The sequence below is a fragment of the Homo sapiens genome, chromosome 3 (genome assembly GCF_000001405.40).
Source record: "Homo sapiens chromosome 3, GRCh38.p14 Primary Assembly".
Classification (NCBI taxonomy): domain Eukaryota; kingdom Metazoa; phylum Chordata; class Mammalia; order Primates; family Hominidae; genus Homo; species Homo sapiens.
Window position 1 is genome coordinate 182,161,428 of NC_000003.12, and position 25,972 is coordinate 182,187,399.

Below are 25,972 nucleotides of genomic sequence, written 5' to 3' on the forward strand. Positions count from 1 at the left end.
CATCATTGAGTTATTGTGATGATTAAATGAGTTGATATTTTCAGGTGCTTAGAAGAAAGCATGGCACTTGGTAAGTGCTACAGTGTTGCTTAACAAACTAAACAAAATATTCCCCAAATGTCATCTCTCCTCTGCAATAAAATAGCAAGGAAACCGCCTCCCTCAGTCCAACCAGCTTTTAAATCCAAGATTTCCAGATCAATCTAAAAAATATATCATCAAATCCATTAAATCATCTGAGTGTTTGACTCTCTTTGAAGGCCCTATGACAATAACCAGCATAAGGTTAGGCCATTAGGGAGACTAAGAGTGCCAGTCATCGGTGGTGCTTCCTTTATTCTCTATAAATTTGGAATATGAAAACCTAAATATCCTCTTGAAAAGAGAGATGTTGAGAAGGAAAAAATGTCCTCCACAGTTATTTTAATGATGTATCCTCTACATGTGTACTTTGAGGGTGTTGGATTGAGGCTGCTATAGCCATTTCCAAGCTTATCAGGAAAGAGTTTGATGTTCAACTAGTAATGTCTTCCATCGGCACAAGAAGGGCACTGGAAGGAGGCATGCGTCTGATAGACCTGCACCCTTATCTTATAAGAAAACACAGAGACCTAGAGAAATGGAGTGATTTGCTCTGTATCACATAGCGGGCCTGGTCAAGAGTATAAACCTGGGACCAGTGGTGGAAAGTATGTATGTTGGGGGTGGTAGGTGGGGGTTGACTTGGAGATCACATGTAAATTTCATCAACCATTTTCCCAAAGTTAAAGCTTTTCTATAGGCTAGGCTTTATGAAAAGTTTATATCTTGACCTAGGGTTGACATACTTAGGTATCCTCAAACTAATAAAAAACAAATACAACATAATTTAGATTCACCCAATAGGATTGTCTGGGATGACAGAGAACATATCCAGAGTTTCACCCCTGGAAGCCTCAGTGACAAGTACGGCAATGACTCACCCCACCTGCAAAGACAGTTATGAAGAACGACAAGCAAGAAATGCTGGCCGAAATCTTGGCGATGAGAAAACCCATACATTACTGCAAACTCGCCACAGAGCTACAAAAACTGAACTGGTCATGCAGGTTCCAGTACCTGGGTGATCCTTTTGGTTACTATAGGTGCCCTCCAAACATTGAGAAGTTGGATCAAGACACAAATACGAATTCATCTCCCCCTGGTGGATCTCAAACAGTTTTGGAAATGAATAGAAAGGTTTATGCCAATATTTAAATATTAACAATGCTGTTACCTGATAATTACGTGTCATTTTGTCTGCAAGAATTAAAGAAAACTTTCTGCTTGAGTTGCTGAAATGCCACCACTTTTCAAAGGACATCAAGTATAAATAAGTTCTATTACTTACAACAAAATGCAGGCTTTGTTTAGCTACAAAGAAGCACAGTGAAATTCTAATTTAAGCCAAGGAGTTTACTGAAGAAGACACAGTAGATATATATTTTTTAAGTTGTTGTTAACCAGTTTTTTACTGGCTATCATGACATGGGAAAAAGCTTTTGATAATAACTGAGTGATCTTGTGTTTTGGACTTCTATAGGGTTGCTGCAGATGACTGCAAATATCGTCATTTGGTAAGAATGGGTACAACGGGAATAGACAAAAGATCTTTACTACAGCCCAAAAAGAAAAGTGTGCTAGTTGATTTCAGGAATCCTTTTGGTTCCCTGTGTATGTTCTTGGGAATTCATGAGTTAACCAGAATATCTTCATCAGCAATATGTTGTCAAGTAGAAAGCACAGATCTTTGAGCCAAAAAAGTAGGGTTTATGTCCTGGCTCTGGGATCATTAGCTGAGTGATCCTGGGCAAGTCACTGTTAGTCTCTCTACTAAAACTTAGCTTGCTCATCTGTGAAGAAAGCTAGCATAGTCTATTTCACCAGGTTGTTTTGAGATCCAAATAAGAAACATATGTAAAAATGCACAGCACCATGAGGTACATGTACATGTTTTGTAAAAATTAGTTGAATGTGAATAAAAATGCTTTGCTTTTATTTTGAATTCGATGCCAAGAAGTACTTTATGTTGCCCGACTCTTGTGTGCTTTCTAGTTTGTGAAGTGTTGTCTTTTAAAGTCAAGAGTAGGTTTCACTTGGCAGGTGACTTAGCTCTGTAATGTTAATGGTCATCTCAAATTTAACTGATTTATGAGTTCAGAATGTGATACATCAAATAATATAAAATAAGATGTCTTGTTTGTGCATAGTCAAATGGCAAGATTATTTTATCATTAAAAAATGTTAATGAGAGACTCAGTCATTCTGCTACCTATGTAGAAAACATTTCAAATATCTAATCCCAGGTCCTTTAACATTGAATACACATTTTTCTTCATTATATTTAAAATTTTTTTTTGTTGTATAAATAATTTTTATGGAAAAAGTAAAATAACACACCAGTATAGTTAGGTAAAAAAATAAAAGTCCCACCAGGTGTGGTAGCTCACACCTGTAATCCCAGCACTTTGGGAGGCCGAAGTGGGTGAGCCCTGGAGTTCAAGACTAGCCTGAGCAACATGGCAAAACCCTGTCTTTACAAAAAATATAAAAATCAGCAGGGCATAGTGGGGCATACCTGTAGTCCCTGCTACTCGGGAGGCTGAGGCAGGAGGATCACTGGGAGGTTGAGGCTGCAGTGAGCAGTGATTGTGCCATTGCACTCCAGCCTGGGCAAAAGAGTGAGACCCTGTCTCTAAAAAAAAAAAAAAAAAAAAAGCATTTACTGTCTACCTCCCCATCCCACTCATTAAAAGTAAACCCTGTTGGTTATGTTTATCATTCCAAAATTTTTTCCATTCATGTGCAAACAAATAGATTAGATAGGTATTTTACAACTCAATATGAAATTATATTGACATATTATCTGGCAACTTGCTTTTACTCACGTAATAACATACTGTGGGCATTTATATGTACCTTCTTAATAGTGACTGTGTAAGTCACTAGAAATGACTACAAGAGACCCCACTTGAATCCAGCTCCCATTATGACATATGTAATAAGCTTTATAGATTTAAAAATTAGGAGCATCTATTGAAGAAAGAGGAGGAGTGATCATAAAGCTGGCCAGTGGGAGAATAAGTTGGACTGACCAGGCCTCTGTGCAAGGTCTGGGCAGAAAAAGGAAATCTATACCCAGATTGTAAGGCAGACTTCTTGACCCATGTGGAAATAAGCAGTGTCTGAAAGGAAGGGGAAGAGAAAAAAGAAGGATTAATGTTTTCTATATAGCTACTGTATGTCCAGTACAGGATTGGGCCCTGTCTCATACTACAGCAAATGCAATTCTCATCACAATTCTGGTAGGCAGTTACTATTACCCTTAATTTACAAATAAACTGAGGGCTTAGGCCAGTCACTAACAAGACACCTAATAAATGTCAGGATTGGGATATAAGCCCTGTCTCTAAATCCAAAGCCCCAGCTCCTTCTTTGGTATCTGGGTGGGATTAAAGTGAACAACATATGTAGGGTACCTATTTCAATGTTTTACAAATGAGTTGTTCAGAAAAATCTAGTCCTTCTTCCCCAATATATAAATATATTTCAAAATGTCTGTGTATCTGAAATTAGACACATATGGCAGGAGGGAAGTTTTTCCTTCATACTTACTATCAAATGCAATACTATATAATAGTGCCCCAATCAATTTTAGTAGAGTTGGAGGACCAAATTTGGTACTGGCTAAGATGTGACATGCTTGAATTTTAAAAAGGAAAGAAGAATCAATTGTGATTTTATTTATTTATTTATAGACTGAGAGGGTCTTTACCCTTTCAACTCATAGCTATGACAGAAAAATCTTGGATATCAAGTCTTTCTGTCGTAACAGCTCAATAGGCATTTAAACTTCCAGTGAGTCAGAGATATGTGAGTTGAAATTCCACTGAAATCTATGGTTAGAAAGTGCTTATGTCAGCTCCTGCTAAGCTCCCACTGAAGCACTTTGCTGATCATAATTAATCAGGGAAGTTTGCTCACTGACATGTTGTACAGGTCAGTCAAGTTCTTGTGCAACGATCTGGGGAGCAGCTCTTGACCCACAGTTATGACAAAGTGATCGACAGTCAGTCGCACAGGAGCTTAGCCTGCTTTACTCATGACTGTATGCCAGAACTGCAGAGAGAACCTGGGATCCAGGAGACTCTCCAAGAGTACTTAACAAATGAATGAATGAATGAGCTCAAAATCAGAACAGAAACTTGAATGCTGGTCTCACATTTGTCACTAATGGCCATGTCGTACACCTTAAATAAATAACCAAAGGAAAGAATAAAATAAAGGAGGCGATCATTTCCTTACCTTTGCACTTAGATATGATCTGGGATATTGTGTTCAGATCCAGCTGTCTTTTAAAACAGTACATTTTAATAAGGGTGACACACTAAAGTGTCTCTGCTGGTGGGCGTCTAGAAGGCTGAAGGGTCCTGAATCTTATAATTCAGATGGAATTGAAATAAACTGGAATCATCCAGTGAAGATTAAGACTTGAGAAAAGACAAGACAGCTTCATTGAAAGAGAGTAGCACAGTGTCTAGATCAAGGAAATATTAGCCACAAATTGCATTCTTTAGATTTTAGACAATATCTGAATTATGATGCTTGCTTCTGGATGCAACTTTTAAATCAATTAATTCTCTTACTATAGGAATAATAGATTTTCATAGTTAAAAAAAAAAAATACTGTGAAGCATCTCATCATCATCCCAAAATCTTAATTGCATCCCTCAGAGAAAATGAATGTAAATAATTCAATATGTATACTCCAGGTTTTTTATGCAAATATAACATATGTTGGCATATTTTTAAGCTTACGTGGGATCAAGTTTTCATAGTTTGACATTTTTGACTTAAGATATATTATCTTTTCATATTATCCATATACATTATGCTTCATCCTTATTAATTGTTACATAATATTCTATGGCGTGAATGTGCTATAGTTCGGCTTAATTCTCTTTTGAATATTATAGTATATTAAATTATATCCTATTGATAAAAATTATTTCCAATTTTTAAAATTACAAATAATGCCATTATAAACCTTCTTGGTCATTCATTGTATACTTCTACAAGAATATTCATAGTTAAAGTCCCTAAAGTGCTGTTACCAGGTCAGAGGACACGTGCATGTTTGTTTCAATCTTGTTCTTGTTAAGCTTCTCCAAATTGCCCTTCTTGAATTGCCTGTTTCTTCGCTTCTTCACCAACTAGATATTTTCAAAATTTTAAATTTGTCAGGTGAAAAATATCTCATTGTTTTAATTTGCATTTCTTATTTTACTTGTGAAGTTGAATATTATTCCATGATTATTGACAATTATCTATGAACTTCCTGTTTATGTATTGGCCTGTTTTGTTAGATTATTTTTTTCTCTTTGTCTTATTGATCTCTAAGAGTTCTTTGCATACTAAGAATATTAGCCCTTTGTCATAGACATTACAAATGTTATTTGCTAGTTTGTAGTTTTATCTTTTGATTTTATTTATGGAATTTTTCATAGAATAGCATCTTTATTTACTTGATTTAGTTTTTTATTATGTTTTAATTTTTGATTTATATTTTTATTCATTTTTGAATAAAGTTGAATTTAGTCTATTTCTTTCCTTTATGATTCTGAGTTTCATGCCATATCTTTGCCATGCCAAAACTATATATTTTTAAATTCCCCATTTAAAAAATATTTCTATGGTATTTTCTATGTTTAAATGTTTGCTCCATCTGGAATTTGTTTTAAAGAGTGAAGCAGAGATCAAATCTCCTATTCCTGCAAACAGCTAGAAATAAAACTCAACATTATTTATTGATTAACCTATTTTTACTCTGATGACTTGAAGGGCTATTCTTATTATACACTAAGTTATCATATGTATTATGTCCTACTTCTAGATTTTCTATTCAGTTCTTGTATAACATAGAATATTTTCATTTCTAGCAGATCTCATACCATCCCTTTCTCACTTCCCCCACTCTCCCTGGCCCCCCGCCACACACACTCCTCCACCCTGTTCTCTTCCATAACACTTTCCTGGTTGCTTAGGCATGTTTATTTTTCCAGGTGACAACTATATTTTTAAAACAATGGGTTTAAATTAAAGCAACACCAACCCTCCATCAAAACGACCAGTCGTCACCTATGTTTGGCTTTTCTTCCTGTGAAGGAAAAGCAGAGTCTCTGTTCTATGTAAAGCCTCTCTCTGCACCTACCGCGCTGATCCACATCCCCATTTGCCCTCGCGATTATTCGTCTCTCTCATTCGTCATTAGTTACTTACTAATGATGAATCCTTTCACTAGGCATCTCAATACACCTTAACATCACCCACTTGAAAAAAAAAAAAAGCAGAAACCCTTAGCTCTATTTTCCACTCCTCTTTTTGCCCCATTTCTTTGCTTACCTTTTCAGCAGAAATTCTTAAGAGTGGTTTGTATTTGCTGTTCTCACTTTCTCACTCCCATTCTCTCTTCACCCATTCATTCAATCAGACTTTTCACTTCACCACTCCCTGAAGCAGATTTTATCAAAGTCATTGATGTCCTTCATTTGACACGTCCATGGTCAGTTCTCTGTTCTCATCCTATTTGAGTCTCAATATCATTTGACACGGGAGATTATTCTTTCTTTCTTGTATTTTCTTCTGAGGCTTTGGAGTCACCACATTCTTCTGCCTTTCCTCCAACCTCACTGGTCATTCTTTCTATGTCTTCTCTGATGTTTAATCTCTTACATCTAATCTCTAAATATAAGAGCAGGTCAGGCCTCTCATCTTTCCTCTGCTTTTCTTTTCACCTCTTCTCTCATCTCCTCTCCTCGTCCCTCCTTCCCCCTTTTCCCATGCTCTGCTATTTTCTCCTTTCCTTCATCTACTTGATCTTATCCAGTCCCATGCCTTTCAATATTCTATGTCTCCAACTGTAATCTCTCTCTCTCTCTAAGCTTCAGAGTTCTCTCTCCAAAGGTCTACATACAATCTCCGCTTGGATGTCTGACAGAAACTGCAAACCCAATATGTCCAAGACAACTCTTGTTTCCTGCCCCCAATTTTCATAATCTGCCCCCTAATCTTTTGTGTTTCTTTTTAGATGGAGTTTCACTCTTGTTGCCCAGGCTGGAATGCAATGGTGCAATCTCTGCTCACTGCAACCTCCGCCCTCGAGGTTCAAGCAATTCTCCTGCCTCAGCCTCCCAAGTAGCTGGGATTATAGGCATGTGCCAAAACGCCTGGCTAATTTTTTATTTTTAGTAGAGACAAGGTTTCACCATGTTGGTCAGGCTGGTCTTGAACTCCTGATATCAGGTGATCCACCCATCTCGGTCTCCCAAAGTGCTGGGATTACAGGCGTTAACCACTGTGCCTGGCCGTGCCCCCCAATCTTAACCAGAGGTGCACATGGCAGCACAACTCTCTCTCCTGTGCTAAGACTAAAAGCATTGACATTGTTTTTGGCTTCTCTCTTCCCTTCATACTCTACATTCAATCCATCAGCAAGATCTGTCAGTGGTACTTCCAAAACACATTGCAAAGCCCTACTGCTCTTCCCTATCTCCCTTACTACTACTGTAGCTCGAGCCTTCATTTTCTCAGTCCTGGGATCCTAACTGGTTTTTCTATTTCCACTCCCTCCCCTTATTCCCCTGCAGTTGATTCCTTACAGAGTAAACAGAGTGATATTCTCAAATCAGATCCTATCACTACCCAGCCCAAAATGCTCAGATGAAATTCAGCTGCTTACTATGGAGTGTAGAATTTACAAGACCTGACCCTTTATTGACTGTATGACCATCTCACTCACTATTCTCTCCAATGTCCACTCCACTATAGCAATTCTGTCCTCCTGGATGCAATGAGCTGTCTCAAGGTATTTGCTTTTGATAGTCCTTCTATGGGAGAACCCATCTCCCTGTGGTTTGTGGGGCTGTGTCTCTCTCATCTTTAGGGTCTTAGCTCAAATATTGCCTCTGCAAGAGGCTTCTCCATCTACCTTAACTTGAGCAGCATTCCTCCACACCCATACATCCACAACCCAGTCATTCTTGACCCTACTGCCCTATTGTATTTTTTTCATGTCGCTTAAATCCTTCTTAAATGATAATACTTTTGTCTTCTTCCACTAGAAGGTAAACTCCATGAGGGAGTGATTTTGTTTGTCATATGAATGTATGTGCTGTTACACAGGAGATTTCTGTAGCTATATACAATACCTGGAATAGCCCCTGATACACAGTAGGCCGATAGTGTGTTGGATGACTTTTGACAGTTCTAGGAATAAACACCTATATCATTTGGAACCTATATCATTTAGAATTCATACATTTATTAATTGGGATTACATAGAATTTATTGATTACTGTAAGGAGACATAACACTTTTAACATATTAAGTCCTGATGAAAAACAGTGAATATCTTTCCAGTTGCCCAAATGTTTGTTTTTAAATTGAAGTTCTTATAGCCCTATTCTGGTAAAAACCTTTTTAAGAGGAATATTTAGCTTGGAAAGTAAATACACAGTTATTATGACATTTATCTCCAAATACAATGCCAAGTGAAAGAAGAAACTAGTTTATTCACCATATTCCAAAGATCAGACCTTGATGGGAGATAAAGGAAACAAAATTCTAGTTCAAGGAAGAAGTTACTAAAAGTTAAAGCTATTCAACCTCAGATTGAGCTGTGTAGTGAAGCAGTGAGCTCTCCGTCACTGGAGATGTTCAAGCAGAGACTGTGCAGAGAAGATTCTTGTATCTATGGAAAATTGAACTAGAAGACATCTAAGGCCTCTCTTAACTTTAAGGGACTATGATTCATATTACCACTACAAGTCTCAACCAATTTGATGTATCTCAAGAAACTGAATCAACCCAAATTTTCCCCAACCAAAGATACTTGAGAGTTTCTGAAACTGAGTGGTTTCATGGTGAAGTCTAAACTCCATTCATCCAGCTCTGCCCTATGAGTTATATTTTCTTTCACTAAAATAATCTTTAAGACTGGATTCTCCTAGAACCTACCTCTTCTGAAATATTTTACTTTACTAAGACACCCTGAAATAGAGGGTGCTAAAATCCAGAACAAGTTGATATTTTCCTTAAGAAATCAGATGGCAAAGTTGAACAGCCAACAGGTTTTTTGAGATGTTGCTTGCTTCTGCAAGTTATTGCTTTCAAATAGACTTACTAAACCAAATACTATGAGGCTCTATTGAAGAAGTTTTGTCCAAAGTTGTTACTACTGACCCGCAAACCTTGACTTTTTTTTTCTCCCTCCAAAACCTTGAAACATTCGTAGAGAAAAAAAGAGTGAAAAGAAAGTAATAATGATAGTAGCCTTGCTTGCTATTATCATCATTTGAAAGAAATGAATGATATTGTTTGCCAAAGGCCCATGGCTGTGGAGCTAAACCACAATTCTAGATAGCTCAGCAAGGCTTACCAGAAAGCAGAGAGTGCACTTCTTTGTTCCAGGGTTTTATGGGAAGAAATCATTTCACAGCTTGTATGGATTCTGCAAAGGCCTCAAGCTAGAAAGTGTAAGGTGGCCTGCGGGAGGTGTGCAGGGGTCACTGAATGCTACGAGATGTCTCTTCAAGCTGGTGGATTACACTTACGAGCTCTCACAATGTGACTGCCACTCTGACCTTGCTGCTCAAGTCCAGGGCTCTCATGAGCAAGGAAAGAGATTCTGAACCAACCCATGCTCACATGGCACTATGTCATTCATTTGTCAGTCCAAAATTCAAAGAAAAGAGACCACCTAATTCTCAAAAAAAAAAAAAAAAAAAAAAGTTGTTGCACTTTTGAGTGTATTACGGCCATATCTTATACAACAAAATTTTCTCTTAGGAAGCACGCGGTGATTTTAGTCACTGTCAGCAGCCTAGAAAATCTGCCAAGCTGGCTTCATGGAATTTCTAGAAGCTCATTCAGAGCTTTGAATGACATTTCCTTATGTGTATACCACAGGCTATGGTTTTTAGGCACAGTCAGGATTATAAAAAATCCTCTTCAAAACTCCCTTATACAGAGAGACAGTATGTCTGACATGATGAGAAAGACAGTCACCTGAGACCCAAGGAGCTTGCCTTTAAGATTTGTTTGATGACTTTTCATTTCAGGAAAAGCAAAGCTAATACAACATTTCCTAAACGGGAACGTCTGTTCCAAAGGCAATCCGGTCTGTTGGCTCTCCGACTTCAGCACAACACCTCCCAGCATTCGGGGAGCTTGTCTCCTTTCCCTTTACTTTTGTGTTTTCACCACCCAACTTTACTTTCTTGGCTTACAAAATGGGGATAACATTACCCTCCTCTACACCTAACAAGGGTAATGAAAGGAGCTAATAAAACATTTTGTATTAAAAGACTTTAAAGAATTTTAAATCACCATTTAAATATTGGATTATATTATTACCTAGGACCTGAATTTAACTGTAGAACATTTTGCTTTTGTTGTTGTTTTGTTTTTTACTTGCATTACTTGTAAATGATGGGAAGAGAAGAGATATGAAGAATAAATTTGTCTCTAGCCATCCTTAAAATATGATTTTTCTGTAGAAAGGAAGACACTATGTGTGACACACAATGAAACTTTCTTCAGTATGGCTTTTAGAAACTACCCTCACTACTTTGTAGGCATATTCAGATATAATAAATATATACATAAAGTTAGTAATGCTCTTAGAACTTTATTATAAAGACTATGAAATGCATGGGTTGGAAATTATCTTTTGCAAAATTAGAGATTATAGAGGAAGCCTCAATAGATAATCATCTGATTAGCTGACTTACTGCTTTTAACCAGTTTCACTTGGTGTTTAGAGTATTTTTTCCATCATGATTTTAAATGCAAGTTATAGTCACAAGAATTTTTTTTTAAATTCAGCCCCAAGAGGAATTTTAGAAATAATCAAGTCTATCTTTTTGTTTTATGGAAGTAAACACCAAGATTCAGAGATGTTAAGTGATTAGACTAAAGACACACAGCTAATGCATGTGGAAGAGAGATTAAGACTCACCTCTTCTGGCTTGCAGCCCATTGCTTGTTCCACCCCATGCTACCTTAGCCCAAGGTAAGAAATATTTAATTGAGGGCTAATGACAAAAGACAATGAAGACATATTGTATTTCTTCTTTGGATTTCTTCATATATCACTGCAGCACTTAGGAACTCAGATAATTATACTGTGAGGAGACAAGTGACAGGAGAGCAAAACACCTCCTCTAATTCTTAGCCCTCTGTCAAACGCAAAGGATGTGGCAAATTGCTACCTGTAGGCTCCCGGAGGCAGGCGGGAGAGCAGCATTACTCATACAAAGAAGCAGTCCTGGCATCTCCCTTTGTAAGATGTAAACCTAAGATTTGGGGACATTTCAGGAATGGGAGTTTGGACAGGGAAAGCCCTTAGCCTCACATCTTGGACTCAAAATATTCTTTCCCCGGTTCTTATCAAATTAACTTGAGCCTCAAACAACCACCTCAGCTGGGGAGAAAAGCCGGATGGGGAACGGTGAGGTTGATCCTCAGTTACTTAAACTCTTCAGGTTTTCTATTATCTAATTCAGTCTCCCTCTCCATAATGAAGATCAAATTATATCCAGGATTCTGGTTTGCTGAAAAGAGTGGGAGATCATAGGAACATATCATTTTACAGAGGACAATACCAGCAATTTCTGAATGAATCTGGCAGCTAAGCCCGGCAATTATTTGGACCAGCACTCAGTGGTTCTTTGGGGATAAACTGAGCTAGAAGGGCTTTAGAAAGGGCAAAGCTACAGTGGCATCCAGTCTTCAGGTAGGAGAGATCGTTGACTCTTGCTACTCACTTCAGCACACTCTCTTGTCACAATATTTTCCTAAAATTCCAATGTATTATCATGGAAATGCAAAAAATACCCCACTATATTCACAAAAATGTTAATTTCCTACTTAAAGCCATTAGGAAGAAAGCCTCTTCCCCAAAACAAGACAACATTGGAATATTTTGCACACCAAAATGTTTGAAAGTTTTTTATAAAGTGGGAAATGTGGGTTTTTTTAAATTATAAAGAAATTTGAATTAGTTATTTGTGAAATAACTAATTCAAACCAGTTGCCCAGAGAAACTGAGTTCACTGTTCTTTCCCCAGCAGTATTTCAGTAGAGTAAGTGTCTGTGTTGCCTTGTGCAGAGCAGAAGTGTGGCCAATGGATAGAAAAAAAAGCTGGATTCTGGTTGCACGTTAGGAAGAATTTCCTAATGTTTCACGCTGTCAAAAAAATGGTAGTGGGTTTCATCGAAAGTCCCCATGGCTGAAGGTGTTTATAGAGAAGGGAAGGAAGCTGAGACGTGAGCTATATGGCCTCTCAATGCCATTGTAGAATTTTCTAAAACCCTCTGCTTTATCACTAAGAAACATTTCTCCATGTCCATGGCTTTTGTAATTTAAAACTCATGGATTCTTAGAATGCATATTCAACATCTCTCCAAACACAATAAGAGAAAAATGAATCCAAAAACAATGGCTTTAGAAAAGGAGTTTTTTATTTTTAAAAAGTCTTGTCCATGCTTCCATTCTTTCAAGGGCATCTTCTAAAATGATTCAAAATTGTGAATAACTTCTGAGCATTCAGTCCCACTGTCATTGGTTGGTCATGGCCTTGAGGTGGGGGTGCCACCCTTTGCCCGAAAGCCAGCATAGTCACATTTTCCTGCAATGGAAATAGTTGATGTAGGCAACCAACCTTTTTGCCATGTTTCCACAAAGCAGTGTAAATGTTAGTAGGTCACAATGGAACAGACAAAGAGAATTTGACAAGTAATCTGTTTATTCTTTAGATTATAAAACTGCTTTCAGGGCCGCATTAAAGTAATTCACACTTGGCCAAGAGAAAGAAATCATCACTTGGTACACATAGAATACAGGCTTTCAGACAACCAGGGGAAGGATGGCGAGTTGCCCCTCTGCCACACAGGCAGTGAAAGAAAGTAGAAGTACTGTTTCAAAGGTCAGTGTCACCAATACAAAGCACAAAATTGGTGCAGGGGAAAAAAGTAAAAATAGGCCAAAGATGGGGAAAGTGGCCTTCAACATTTTTAAGCAACATGATATATAAATGGCAGAAAAACCAAAGAGTAGGAAACTTTCTGATTATTGCAGTACCATAGGTCATTGTAAAGATATCATATATTAGATTGCATACACTCAAAAACTTAAAAAATATCTAAAATGCGCTTTTGTCTTTGAACTGTCTTTGTCTGTCTCTCTCTCTTTTTCATACTTCTTCCCACATGCTGTTGGAAGACTTGTCCTCTTTCGATTTGCCTGCATGAATTCCATCTTATTCTTTACATCGCAGCTCAAATATCACTTCTTCTACAGAGGGGCTTTCTTTGGCCCCCATTTTATTCTTCCCCTGGGTATCTATCTCTTTTCTTCATAAAATGTACACACTTTAAAATCATATTTGCATTCATACGTTTTCTTCGTGTCTCACTCCAATAAGCTCCTCAGGACCAGAGACCTTGTCCTTTGTGTTTTCCTCTTAGTACTCAGTGTTGGGCATGATGCCTGAAGAAATGTTTTTCCATAAATAAATTAATGTCAGAATAGGATCAGAATGGTGATAAACAAGGAGGGTCCTCAGCATCAGGTGTCTGTGGTGGGTGGTGGGTGGGGCCCACCACTGCCTTCTATGCCCAAACAGATAGGTGCTATGCTACCTGATGCTCTAGATTAAGAGTGCAGGGTTAAAACAGCAAAGTTTTCTGTTGGTAAATCACTTACAAGGATCCAAACAGTCCAGTCTTCTTCAGTTCTCTACTACTCAGGTTGACCCACATAACTGAGATTGCTTTACCGCAGTCTATTACCCTGACCAAACATTAATGTTGAGAATGGCTAAAAGACTCTATAGCTGTTTATATCTACCCAACATAACAAGTTGTTTTGCTTTCTGAGAAATCTTTTATTTATTAAAGTATCACAGAAACAGACAAATAAATAAAATTTCTGAACATAGAGTTGCATCTTGCTTTTTTTTTTAAGGAAGCAGCTTGAGGGACCTCCTAACCAGACAAAAACTGGCCCTGGATGTCTCTTCTTCCCAGTACTAATCACAATTGAAAATTTACATTTATGGTTGTGATTATTATTTAATATCTATCACACTCAAAAAGACTATAAGATGCCTAAAGGTGGGGGTGTTGTCTGTTTTTGCTACTATAGTATCCCTGGCACCAAACCCATAAGATATTCAACGAACTGATGAATGAATGAATGAGACTTACATGCTTCCTAGGCTTGACTTTCTCATCAGCTCTCTGGGTACGTTTGAATAAGTCACTTTATCTTGCCAGTGTTCATTCTCACATTTGAGAAAACGGTGATATCACTCTGACCCCTTCTTAGTATAGTTTCAAGGATCAAATGATGCAAAAATGACCTGAATGTTCTGAAAAGGATAAAATTCTATTAAAATGTGAACTACTATGCAAGGAATTACTCTTGCTATCAGGGCAGTAGCTATAGGCGGTGGAGCAGAAAGCAGATCTGAGATCAAGTATGACCTGCAAGCAAGTTAGAGCCGGGACAGGAAAAGGATTGGACCTAAGTGCTAACTTCAGGAATTCTGGATTATTAGAATCACCTATTAGAAGTTCTATCTGTGGAGGAACTTCCTATGTCAACTAGAGAAAAAAGGAAAGGAAATGTGGACCCCCAGAGTTGACACTCCTGGGAAGAGAAAGACCACCTTGGCCTTCACAGGGAGGATGCAAGGGAGACAAAACAAGTGCAGAGAGCTCAGTCCTGATTTTACAGTTCAGGGTCGGCATGAGATTGTGGTAGATGGTGTTCTGGACCTTATCTAGCTTGACATTAGAAACACCAAAATTTCCTAAATCAAGAGAATAACAAAACTCAAAGAGCAAGGTTACATTTGGAGAAAGGGGTGTCTTATAGCTGTAACAATTCAAGAATAATACTAATAATTAGTACTATTTAGTGCCTAAAATATCTTAGTAACTTTACATATGTTCATCCCTAACATCAACTCTGTAAAGTAGGCATCTCTAGACCTATTTCACAGATGAGGCCCAGTGAGGTCAAGTGACTTGCACAGGATCACACAGCTACATGGCAGAGCTAGGTATCAAATATAAGACTGCCTGACTTCAAATATCATGCTCTTTCCCCTCTGGATCTCCAGCTGGAGACCAAACCATCAGGACTAGCTACATAGTGTGCAAGGCCCAGTGTAAATTGACAATGCAGTATCCCTTGCATTAATTAAGAATTTTAAGATGCCAACTGCAGAGCAATAAGCCAAGCATGAGGCCCTTCTGGGTGTGGGGCCCCGTTCTGTACAGGTCATATTTAAAGTTGGCTTAAAAGGATAGAACAACTAAGACCCTACTTCACGCCAGTTCTCAGGACTCCTATGGTTGAAGCTTTGGCCGGAGAAATAGTGACGATGGTGGTAAGGCAGGGCAAAGGCTAGTGGCATGGGTAGAAGCAGGGGAAGGTCATAGAAGTGAAGTAGATCATCACTGCTGTACCTTCCAGGGATAGAGCCACCTGAGACTGGCATCAATGAGAGGGGTCCGTGAGCCCGACATCCTGGGAGCAGCCCCCACTGAAGCTGAGTCTTGCACCATGGCCATCACCATCCACATTCTTGGTTATCCCCAAGACAGGTGCCCTGGGGCAACAAGGTAGCCAACTATAACATAAACATGCAAACATTTTAACAAGAATGAAGAGACAAAATTCCCATGAGAAATGAAATAAGAAACATTCGCTTGTAAAAAGCTCAAGTTACATAGAGGCAGAACCAACAGAACAGGGCTTTCCTGGTCTGGTTTCAATCACTATCATAGCTAAGAGGGCAGAACAATCCAAAGGGAAAAAGTCCTCTCAAGAATAAATGAAATTAATCTGGTAGAAAGCTTGTAATGACTGACCAAAATTTGTGGGCCCTGAAGATGCAATTTTTGTGAAGGACTTTTACCAACATTTATGTCTTTTCATACTACCATAAAAGTCATACATGCTAGTCCAGAAACTTGTAAAACAGAGATTCACAGTGAACAAGCATCAATCATAATTCTATCACTCAGTGATAACCATTGCTGATTTGACCCTTTGGTATAGGAGCTTTCAAACATATACTATATACAAACATACCTATACAAATAATTATTTTCAGGCATGGTTTGAGCCTTAGCAAAAATACCATGATTTTTCCCCATTGTCAAATATTATTCTTTGTGATTTTTAAACAGCCGCATAGTAGCTCATCAAATAAATCCTCTTCGACATGTTTCTGGGGTTTTCTTTCTTTGGTATTTATAAATTATGCTAATATAAACATCTTTTGTACATGCATACATACCCTTCCACTAATATATTATTTATCCTTGGTGTTTCTAAGAAAATATTTTCGTCTGGTGTTACGTTTTCTGTTTCTACTCTTAGGAAAAGCCACGGAAAGAAAGTGATTTTTTTGTTTTGTTTTGTTTTAATTTAATTTAAAGTTCTGGGATACATGTGCAGGATGTGCAGGTTTATTACCGAGGTGAAAAATGTGCCATGGTGGTTTGCTGCACCTACAACAAAGTGTTAATGATAGTGCAATAGCACCCGGGCAGATCACCTTCTTCATGTTTCCAACACTCCCTTAGCACTTCACCTGCACATCTTTGATGGGAGTTCCCACCCTCTCCTTCCTTCTTATTTTTTCTGTAACTGGATATTCCTTGAAGGAGAGGGCACAAGACACTCATCTCTGTACCCCCCCAGTGCCTCGTCCACATTGGGTGCTCCATAAATGTCTATGCCATAGCTGAGCAAGTTCCTCAAATCCTGTAGCCTAGTCCTAATTCCCATCCCTGCCACCTTTCTTCCATAATTGATGTGACATTTCCTTCACAGTTGAGGGATTGAAGTTTGGAGATGTGTCCTGAGGGGGTCAATTAGTTCCTTTGATGCATCTACCACCAGGTGAGCAGAGGTGGTTCTTTAAGAAATTTAGCAGGAAAAGTGGTTTAGGATTTCCCGGGTAGGTCTAGAAGAATTAAGATGCTGAAGTTTATAGTTTACACTCTTGAGAAATGACTTCATGTTTTACACTCAAAATTAATTACACTTTTTATATTCTGCAAAGCACTGTTAACCAAAAAGCATTGATAGACTTCTATAGACCATTCAATGTCATATAAAAGGAAAAAAAAAAAATCTTTTTTTAATCAATTAATTAATTTATTTATTTATTTATTATTATTATACTTTAAGTTTTAAGGTACATGTGCACAATGTGCAGGTTAGTTACATATGTATACATGTGCCATGTTGATGCGCTGCACCCACCAACTCGTCATCTAGCATTAGGTATATCTCCTAATGCTATCCCTCCCCGCCCCCCGACCTGGAAAAAAAACATCTTAAGCACAAATGATGTACTGCCTCTCCTTAAATGTGATGAAACTCCATTTATAAACATTTGTTTGGCTTATTCTGCTCTCATAAGGGTGCCTTGGGCTTTTCCCTACTTCAGCCTTGAAATATTCTGAGTTGCCTGAGGCTGTTAAAAGTGTTAAATCACATCCTATCTCTTAGGAATAATAATAATTTTAAAAAATCAACTCTCATGAATACTCTGTACTGATTAACAAAATTGCCTTCCCCTGTACTGGTCTCCTACTATGCTATATGCTTCCCTCTGTGTGCAAGGCTTATGGCAGAAGCTGGAGTGCAATCGTGAATGAAGCAAGGCCCCTCCTTCTTTCAGGAAATTTTCAAAGTAATGGGAAAGACAGGTCAGTAGGCCAACACCTGGTGGGACAGCCTCTGTCCTAGATGGTCTTAATAAACCCACTTTAGTTCTTTCTGGGTAACTGAGAGGGCTTACTCAGCCTTTTGTAAACTAATGTTTTAAAGCCAGACAAGTTTGCATCATTCACTGAAAATAAAAAGCGAATACCACTCAGTACAATAAAAACGATTAGGTCAACAAATTAGATTTCCGCACATACATGCTTCTACATTTAATACATTTTTAGGAGAATGTAGAGTGAGCTACAACTCCTACCTGCAGAAAATCCAACCCTGCAGGCTCCCAGCCCTTCCTTCCCAACAAGGAAAATGATGATCCAGAATGAGGGCCAGACCCTCTGAAGGAATCCCAAGGGGTAGAAAGTCAAATGATTCATTCCTGGGTCCCTGGTCACTTTTCTCTCCTTAACCCTAAACATCCCTAAACCTCCACACTGAAGAGGCATCAAAGCATAAAAAAAAAGAGTTGGGGAAAATCTGGCTTTGAATTTTGGCTGATGTATGTATTAGTCTCAGGTTTCAGGTAAGTTGCTTCACCTCTGAGCATGGGGAAGTGCTTGACACAGCAAACACTCAGCATGCAGTAATATTAATAATGTGATTGCAGTAGTGAGTGCTTAAGAGCGGGCAGTCTGTGGTTCCTGACCAGACTGCTGGGGGTCAAATCTCTTTCAGCATTTTATGTTCTGTGACCTTGGGCAGGTCATTTCAGCTCTCTGGGCTTCAATTCCATCAGCTGTAAGATGGAAATAAAAATAGGATCTTCCTCATACGTTGTGAAGATTAAACATATTCATATATGTGAAATGCTAAGAATATTGTGAATTCTTATTACAATGATTAGATAGTTGCTGCTGGTAGAAGTCATGATAGCGCTGGTGGGGAGTGATAGTTATAACAGTCTGTGCCCAACCACAGACCCAGATCCTTTCTGTTTATATTTAATTAACCTCTGGCTAATTCTATTAGAATTTGAAGAACCTAAATTACTTGCATCTTCCCTAACTTAGTAATGACACTAACATCTGTCGAGCATTTTCCATGTGTCAGACGTAATTCTAAGAACATTGGAAGCATTGGCTCACTTAATTCTCACAATAATGTCAGGAGGTAGGTACTCTGATTAGCTCCATTTTACAGAGAGGGCAAATGAGTTAGTAAATGGCTTGTCCAAGAGTACATGGCTAACTGCTTCAGTTAGCTCACATAGTCACTCTTAATTGATAAGATATAAACCCAACCATTCTCATTGCTGAATCTTACTAGGGCTTGATTTCTTCCTGCAAATAGCCAATAGCTATTGAATATTATTTGAGCTTCCAAATGCCTGCTGTCCTATGTAATCGCAAGGTGCTATTCTAAAAAGCACTTACAAAATGACCAGAGTTTTTACCACTGAAGATCATGGTATTTTGAGAATTTGGCTGAGCATTTCTCTCTGGCCCCTGTGTTGGGATAAGAGGGAGTGCTCCTGTTTGCATTAGCCAAAGGATTGTGAACTATTATCTTACCTTGTTATCTGAGCCGCTGGTGCACAAGGAAGTTTCCTTTGCTAATGGTTGAACTGCTCTTCAGATAAAGGCCTCCCCTAGATCTCTGCAGCACTAATTAATCAGCTGTTAAAACAGTAGTTGATAAAGACAGGCTTACTTAAAGTTCGAATTGCCTCAATCAGAGATAACGGGCGAGTCCCTTTTGGCAGTGAGATATGAAAACAGGAGAATGATCTGTTATCAGAGTGAACATGGCACTCAAATGAAAAATGTGGTTCAAAAAATCAAGTAATGTTCAAACTGGAAAAAAAAATAAACAAATAATTGTTTCTTTTAACCTGTGTCGGGAGAGTGAAAATGTTGCAAAACACACGCACACAAGTAAATATTAAAACATGATCCACACTAACGCTTCAGTGTGAGTCGGGTGAGCAGAGCTGGAGCAGGTTTCATCAATGTGGTCACACAAGAATGTGTGACATGTGACCACCATTTCCCTTTGACGGCTCCTTATTTGCCTATACTTATTATCTTTAAAAATCAAATTTTTCTTAGAAGCAAAGGACATGCTTTTAAAAAAAATAGTTTCTAAAGAAATCACCTGACAAAACAGGTGGATGAATGAAAAAACTTCTCTGAGAAAAAGCCTAGCTGAAAGGGGGAAAAAAGGCATGTAAGTTGGTAGAGGTTAGTAACATTTTTCCAACAGGTGTAGCGGAAAGAAAGGATCTAACTGGTATAAATGTAGAGGGAAGGACAATTCCCGAGGTCTAAGGAGGTTCACACTGGTAGAAACAAACAAACAAAAAAAATTCCTGTCTCTGAAATTTAGGTTTCAGAGCATGCAGAATTTTAAAAAATTGCATATGGACCCAAACCTGAGCCATAAGCAAAAAAAAAAAAAAAAAAAAAAAATTATAGCTTTCCTAAGTGATGCTGTGTTAGCACCATCACATACATTGAATTTTGAATTTACTTGTTTTTTTTTTTTTTTTTTTTTTTTTTGAGACGGAATCTCGTTCTGTCGCTCAGGCTGGAGTGCAGTGGCGCGATCTCTGCTCACTGCAAACTCCACCTCCCGGGTTCACGCCATTCTCCTGCCTCAGCCTCCCGAGTAGCTGGGACTACAGGTGCCCGCCACCATGCCCGGCTAATTTTTTGTATTTTTAGTAGAGACGGGGTTTCACCGTGTTAGCCAGGATGGTCTGGATCTCATGACCTCGTGATCCGCCCACCTCGGCCTCCTAAAGTGCTGGGATTACAGCCATGAACCACCGCGCCCAGCCGAATTTACTTGGTTTCATAAACTTAGGATGGTGAAGTGGAAAGATTAGTGGATTTGGAATCTGGCAACCTAATTAGAGAATAATAGTTATTATAAAAACTAATAATCAATATAAACGAGTAAATAATCTCTCATCCTCAGTTTCCTCATATATAAAATGGGTGAGTAGAGTGGTCACCAAACTATATTACTTTCAATATATCTTGCAAGACTAACATCTTATAATTCTAGATTTTACCATGTATTACTTGCATTCAAATACTATAAATTTTATTAACAATTTTAAGCTACATACCCAGGAGCATCCCAAAAGTTTCAAAATGCTTGGGTTTCAAGAAGCAGTATGAGCTAAAAAACACAACTATGAATGTGCAAGGCTTTCCTAAAACTCTCTTAGAAATTTTGATCTTTAAAATGCAATGGTAATTCATAATAGCTAAGAACCTTTTGACAAAATTCCACTTACTTACATATTTACAGAAGGCTGGCACAATGGGAATCAGATGTCACTGATTTTCCATGTCAGTGATCCCATTTTGCATGCTTGAAATTGCCTTCTGGATGCTTTTTTCCCACACCACTTGATATGTGTGTAACATGATCACCACTGTACCCAAGAGCTTTACCGAATAAGACAGAACTCAGTCATTATTATCACTGTAGAATGTGGTAGTTCAGGAAGTGCACGTGTGAACAGCCGATGAGGCGGGTATGAGTTGGGTGGTGAGCAAGCCGGGGCCTGAGAATCAGAGCACCCCCAATGTCCTCTACAGCCATGGGCATGCCATCACACAAGCCCTCTGTGAGTCATAGTCCTCTCACATGAACCATAGATAATAATAACCTAGCCACAGTCACCACATGCTGCTGGCTGTCATTCAGAGGTGCTTCACCTGATCTACAAAGCCAGAGAAACTAGTGTATAAATTCAGGAAACTATTATTATTCTACTATCTAAACTATTATGATGTCTTTGCAACCTGAGAAAGAACCAACCATGGCAAGTAATAATGAGAAAGGAAAAGAAATATCCCTTAACTAGTTACCAAGAAAGTAGCATTTGAGAAAAAGTAAGTGCTCATGATTATTTCTCCAAGATTGACTATAGAGAACCTGCAAAGTAGGATACTATGCATAAAAATAGTTAAAACATAACAAGCTTTTCTCATATGCCAGGTATCATACCACAAATTTCCTCATAGCACCTCCTCGAATTCTCAGAAAAACTCTATTTTTATAGAACGGGAAATGAGGCACAGAGAGGTCAAGTTGCTCAAGGTCACACTGCTAGTATGTTGCAGTCTGGATTTAAACCCAGGTGGGCTGGCTCTAGGACCCGTGCTTTTAACCACTACACTAAGTAAAGTTTGTTTGTTTGTTTGTTTGTTTTTCATTTTTGTTTTTGTTTTGAGATGGAGTTTCACTCTTGTTGCCCAGGCTAGTGTGCAATGGTGCAATCTCACCTCACTGCAACCTCTGCCTCCTGGGTTCAATCAATTTTCTGGCCTCAGCCTCCCGAGTACCTGGGATTACAGGCCCCTGCCACCATGCCCAGCTAATTTTGTATTTTTAGTATAGATGGGGTTTCACCATGTTGGCCAGGCTGGTCTCAAACTCCTGACTTCCTTCCTTCCTTCCTTCCTTCCTTCCTTCCTTCCTTCCTTCCTTCCTTCCTTCCTCCCCAGTGTGGCCACAAGGACTGAGTACTCACAAGTAGACTCATCTAGATTTTTAATATGATCACTATTGTAGTGGAAGTGCACCCTATGCCAGTTAAAATAAATCTTGAAGCTAAGCCACAGCTCCTTCCCTTTTATTCCTGCCGCCCACCTGTTAGATGGATAACCCCCACAGAGGACTTGGGATGACTATGCTTTCCTAATCTATTTTTAATTCTCACTCTTATTTGCAAGTAGAAGACTCTTATCCAGATGCCATGCTCAGTTTGGGTGCATTGTGATGCATGGTAGTACTCAAGAAATGCCATAGAGGCTGTTGTGATTGCTGTGAGCAATTGCCATGAGCAATTAGCTATCTTTCCTGGACTGCTCAAGACTTCTCAGAGACGAAAAAGTAAACTGTTTTCTTCTTAAATTCAATGCACAGATTCCACTCATTCACTAATTAAATACCAAAGAAATCTGCCCTTATAAACTACAGAGACACGAGTCATACTTGCCTGGATTAGTTTCCGGGCTCAGATCCCTTAGAAGGATTTTCTTTGCATTATTTGCTACATTTTTGCTCCCATTGCTCAACAATAAGTGATGAGTGAAGCCAGATCTTCACACGATGCCCTGAATCCGGGTGATGTCTCCTTGTTCCCAAGCACCTGCTTAAACAAAAGGCATGAGTTCTCCTGGCCTTCCACATTATTACAGTGGCATGCTCTTCTAGTCAGTTTGGGGTTGAATGCATGTGTGCATGTGTATCTGTCTGTGTTCATTAAAATATTTACTTGGTTTCTTTTTTTATTTTTTTCTTCCATCTAAATGCTTAACTAATAAAGAAAAGAAAACCAAGGTACATGCTTTATGTCAGGGGAGAGGCGAAAAAAGGACTTAGAAAGGTCCTGTTGAGAACAAAAGCCTTTTGTTATCAAGGTGTCTTAATATTAGCGTAATGACTTCAGAGGATGAGATAAGGTAAGGAAAGGTAAGATGGAGTGAGATAAGATAAGACAAGGTGGTAACATCAATAAGTAATACAGTGTTAAGGTACAAAAGGTGAACACACTAAAAATGTTTTAATCTGAAGAGAAACTGTAAAATTAACCTGGGTTTTAAATGGGTCCAATGATACTCTAGCTTATGCTACAGAAATTCAATAACTGACTCTACAATCTCCAGAAAGACTTGTTCTTCAGAAAGCTGCTTAAGGAAGCATAGGTTTGGAACCACCTATTTTACTTATGCTATTATAAGGAGGCTGCTTCTACTGGTAAGAAGTGCGCCAACTCCCATTTTGAGGTTATGCATTAATTCTTCCAAATGCTGTGTTGCTTTAGTAAATGCTTTCTCCTATTTGGGTCTAAGAGATCAACGACACATTGCAAAAGTAAAATCAGCCACATTCTAAATTAAGACACGCTTGTGTCCAAAATTTTGTTAGTGCTCCACCCGCGACTCCCAGCCCACCCCCGGTTCTGCCCCATCCTGGTAAAGGAGTATAAATGGCAGGATAAAATGTCTTTTTGAAGCATATTGACATAAACATTTCTTTATTTATTACAGTGTTGATCTTGGACTCAATAATGATCTTGGACTCAATAATTTCATTTTATGGGTGAAAATACTGAGGTTTGGAGAGGGGCACAACTTCCTGAAGGTTATATGCTTCAGAATCAGAGCTGAAACCCAGCTCACACAAGCCAGTGAGGGTTCTTTGAACCACACCATACTGCCCACTACGTCTTTGGATTGTTATTGTTAATGGTGAAACTTTTGTCTTTTGAACATGCTATAGTCCAAAGTGCTTCCCTGAAAAGTTAGAATGCAGTTCTCTTTCATTCTACATGAAACACTTTTCCAACACAAAAGAAACTGGATTTGCATGAGATTAGAAGAGGGGACTCACTTGCAACAACTATTGCAAAATTTTTCTTGTGGCTAGAGCAACAGCCTGGATGTTTTGTGAGACTGAGGTTGCTTCCAATGTTCCAATTAAATCTACACATTCAATAAGTAAGATCTTAGCTATACTTTTAGAAAAATATCCACTAAGTACTTATTTTTGTTGTATTAAAAAATATTGAGCATTCAACTTCATTTTGCAAGGTAGAATACACCCATTTTTAGGAATATTACAGTTGTCGAGATTTGGCTCATTGGCTTACCTGCAAGGCCTTTGGGTCTTAAAATAAATGAAATCTTTCCGAGGCCTTGTAAAGACTTTGTGGAGTGGAAGGACAGCTTTGAGACAGCTTTTCCCAGCTCTTAGTGGGCAACTCATAGCAGCAAAATGATTCACCCACACTTTATTTTTAATTGGAGCTTCAGTGAGTTCAAGCGTGAGAGTTTCCTGCAGGTTCCAAGACCTGAAACAAGCAGTGAAGCCCCTCATTCATGTCCAGGCAGAACTTTATTTATTTATTCATTCATTTATTTTTATTTCTTTTATTAAAGTTCTGGGGTACATGTGCAGAACGTGCAGGTTTGTTACATGGGTATACACGTGCCATAGTGGTTTGCTGCACCCATCAATCGGTCATCTACATTAGGTGTATCTCCTAATGCTATCCCTCCCCTAGCTCCCTACCTCACAACAGGTCCTTGTGTGTGATGTTCCCCTCCCTGTGTCCATGTGTTCTCATTGTTCAACTCCCACTTATGAGTGAGAACATGCGGTGTTTAGTTTTCTGTTCTTGTATTAGTTTGCTGAGAATTATGATTTCCAGCTTCATCCATGTCCTTGCAAAGGACATGAACTCATCCTTTTTTATGGCTGCATAGTATACCATGGTGTATATGTGCCACACTTCTCAAAAGAAGACATTTATGCAGCCAACAAACATATGAAAAAAGCTCATCATCGCCAGTCATTAGAGAAATGCAAATCAAAACCACAATGAGATACCATCTCACACCAGTTAGAATGGTGATCATTAAGAAGTCAGGAAACAACAGATGCTGGAGAGCATGTGGGCAAGTAGGAATGCTTTTATACTGTTGGTGGGAGTGTAAATTAGTTCAACCATTGTGGAAGACAGTGTGGTGATTCCTCAAGGATCTAAAACTAGAAATACCATTTGACCCAGCAATCCCATTACTGGGTATATACCCAAAGAACTTTCCTTTAAAAAAAAAAAATCTTCAGAGAGTGGGAGGTAGGATAAGAGATGAGCAAGGACTGAAGGAAGCCTCCCCAAATAAGGTTCTGTTTTTTTGTGTGTATTGTTTTTTCATGAACTAGTTTATCTGAATACAAATTTCCTCTATTTGCAGTCCTTCTTTTTGTGGCCCGATTTTCTTGCCTGGAATTGGAAGAAGGAAGGGTCTTGGTCAAGTGAGCAGCACTTTTAAAGAAAGGGCAGCTCCTGATCTCTTTTCTTTGCAATGACATTTGGTGATTTTTACATTTCCAAGTCTGGTCTGTTGGTCTTTTTTAGTTTTACACCCTATTTGGCTTCATAAAGAGAAAAAAAGAAAGAAGAAGGAAGGGAGAAGGAAGGAAGGAAGGATGGGAGGAAGTGAGAGAAAGAAATGGAGACTGGTTGGCCCAATTTCCCAATCTGTATTTACCTGTAGAAAACATGAGGGCATAGTATTTATTTATCAATAGACGATTAATGTATAACGAGCAGATTTACATGGAAAAGTTTCTTATTCAGTTACACATGGTCAAAAGGAAAGTCAAAAATCACAG

The 25,972-nt window shown here is 38.6% G+C and overlaps 1 long non-coding RNA gene across 4 annotated transcripts in view; it reads right to left on the reverse strand.

Moving 5' to 3' along the window:
• The window catches only part of LOC105374243 (uncharacterized), a 33,238-nt gene extending 11,903 nt beyond the window's left edge, over positions 1 to 21,335 (reverse strand). The window contains exons 1-5 of one of the 4 annotated variants that reach the window (XR_924757.2): positions 21,079 to 21,335; positions 19,342 to 19,446; positions 15,556 to 15,719; positions 14,287 to 14,450; positions 5,133 to 5,231 (exon numbers count right to left, since the gene is read on the reverse strand). This is a non-coding gene — a long non-coding RNA (uncharacterized LOC105374243). Of the gene's footprint in view, positions 1 to 5,132; positions 5,232 to 12,522; positions 12,708 to 14,286; positions 14,451 to 15,555; positions 15,720 to 19,341; positions 19,447 to 21,074 lie in introns of those variants that run through there. The other 3 variants (XR_924759.3, XR_924756.2, XR_924758.2) reach the window with 3 other exon arrangements.
• Between the last annotated feature and the right edge of the window lie 4,637 nt (positions 21,336 to 25,972).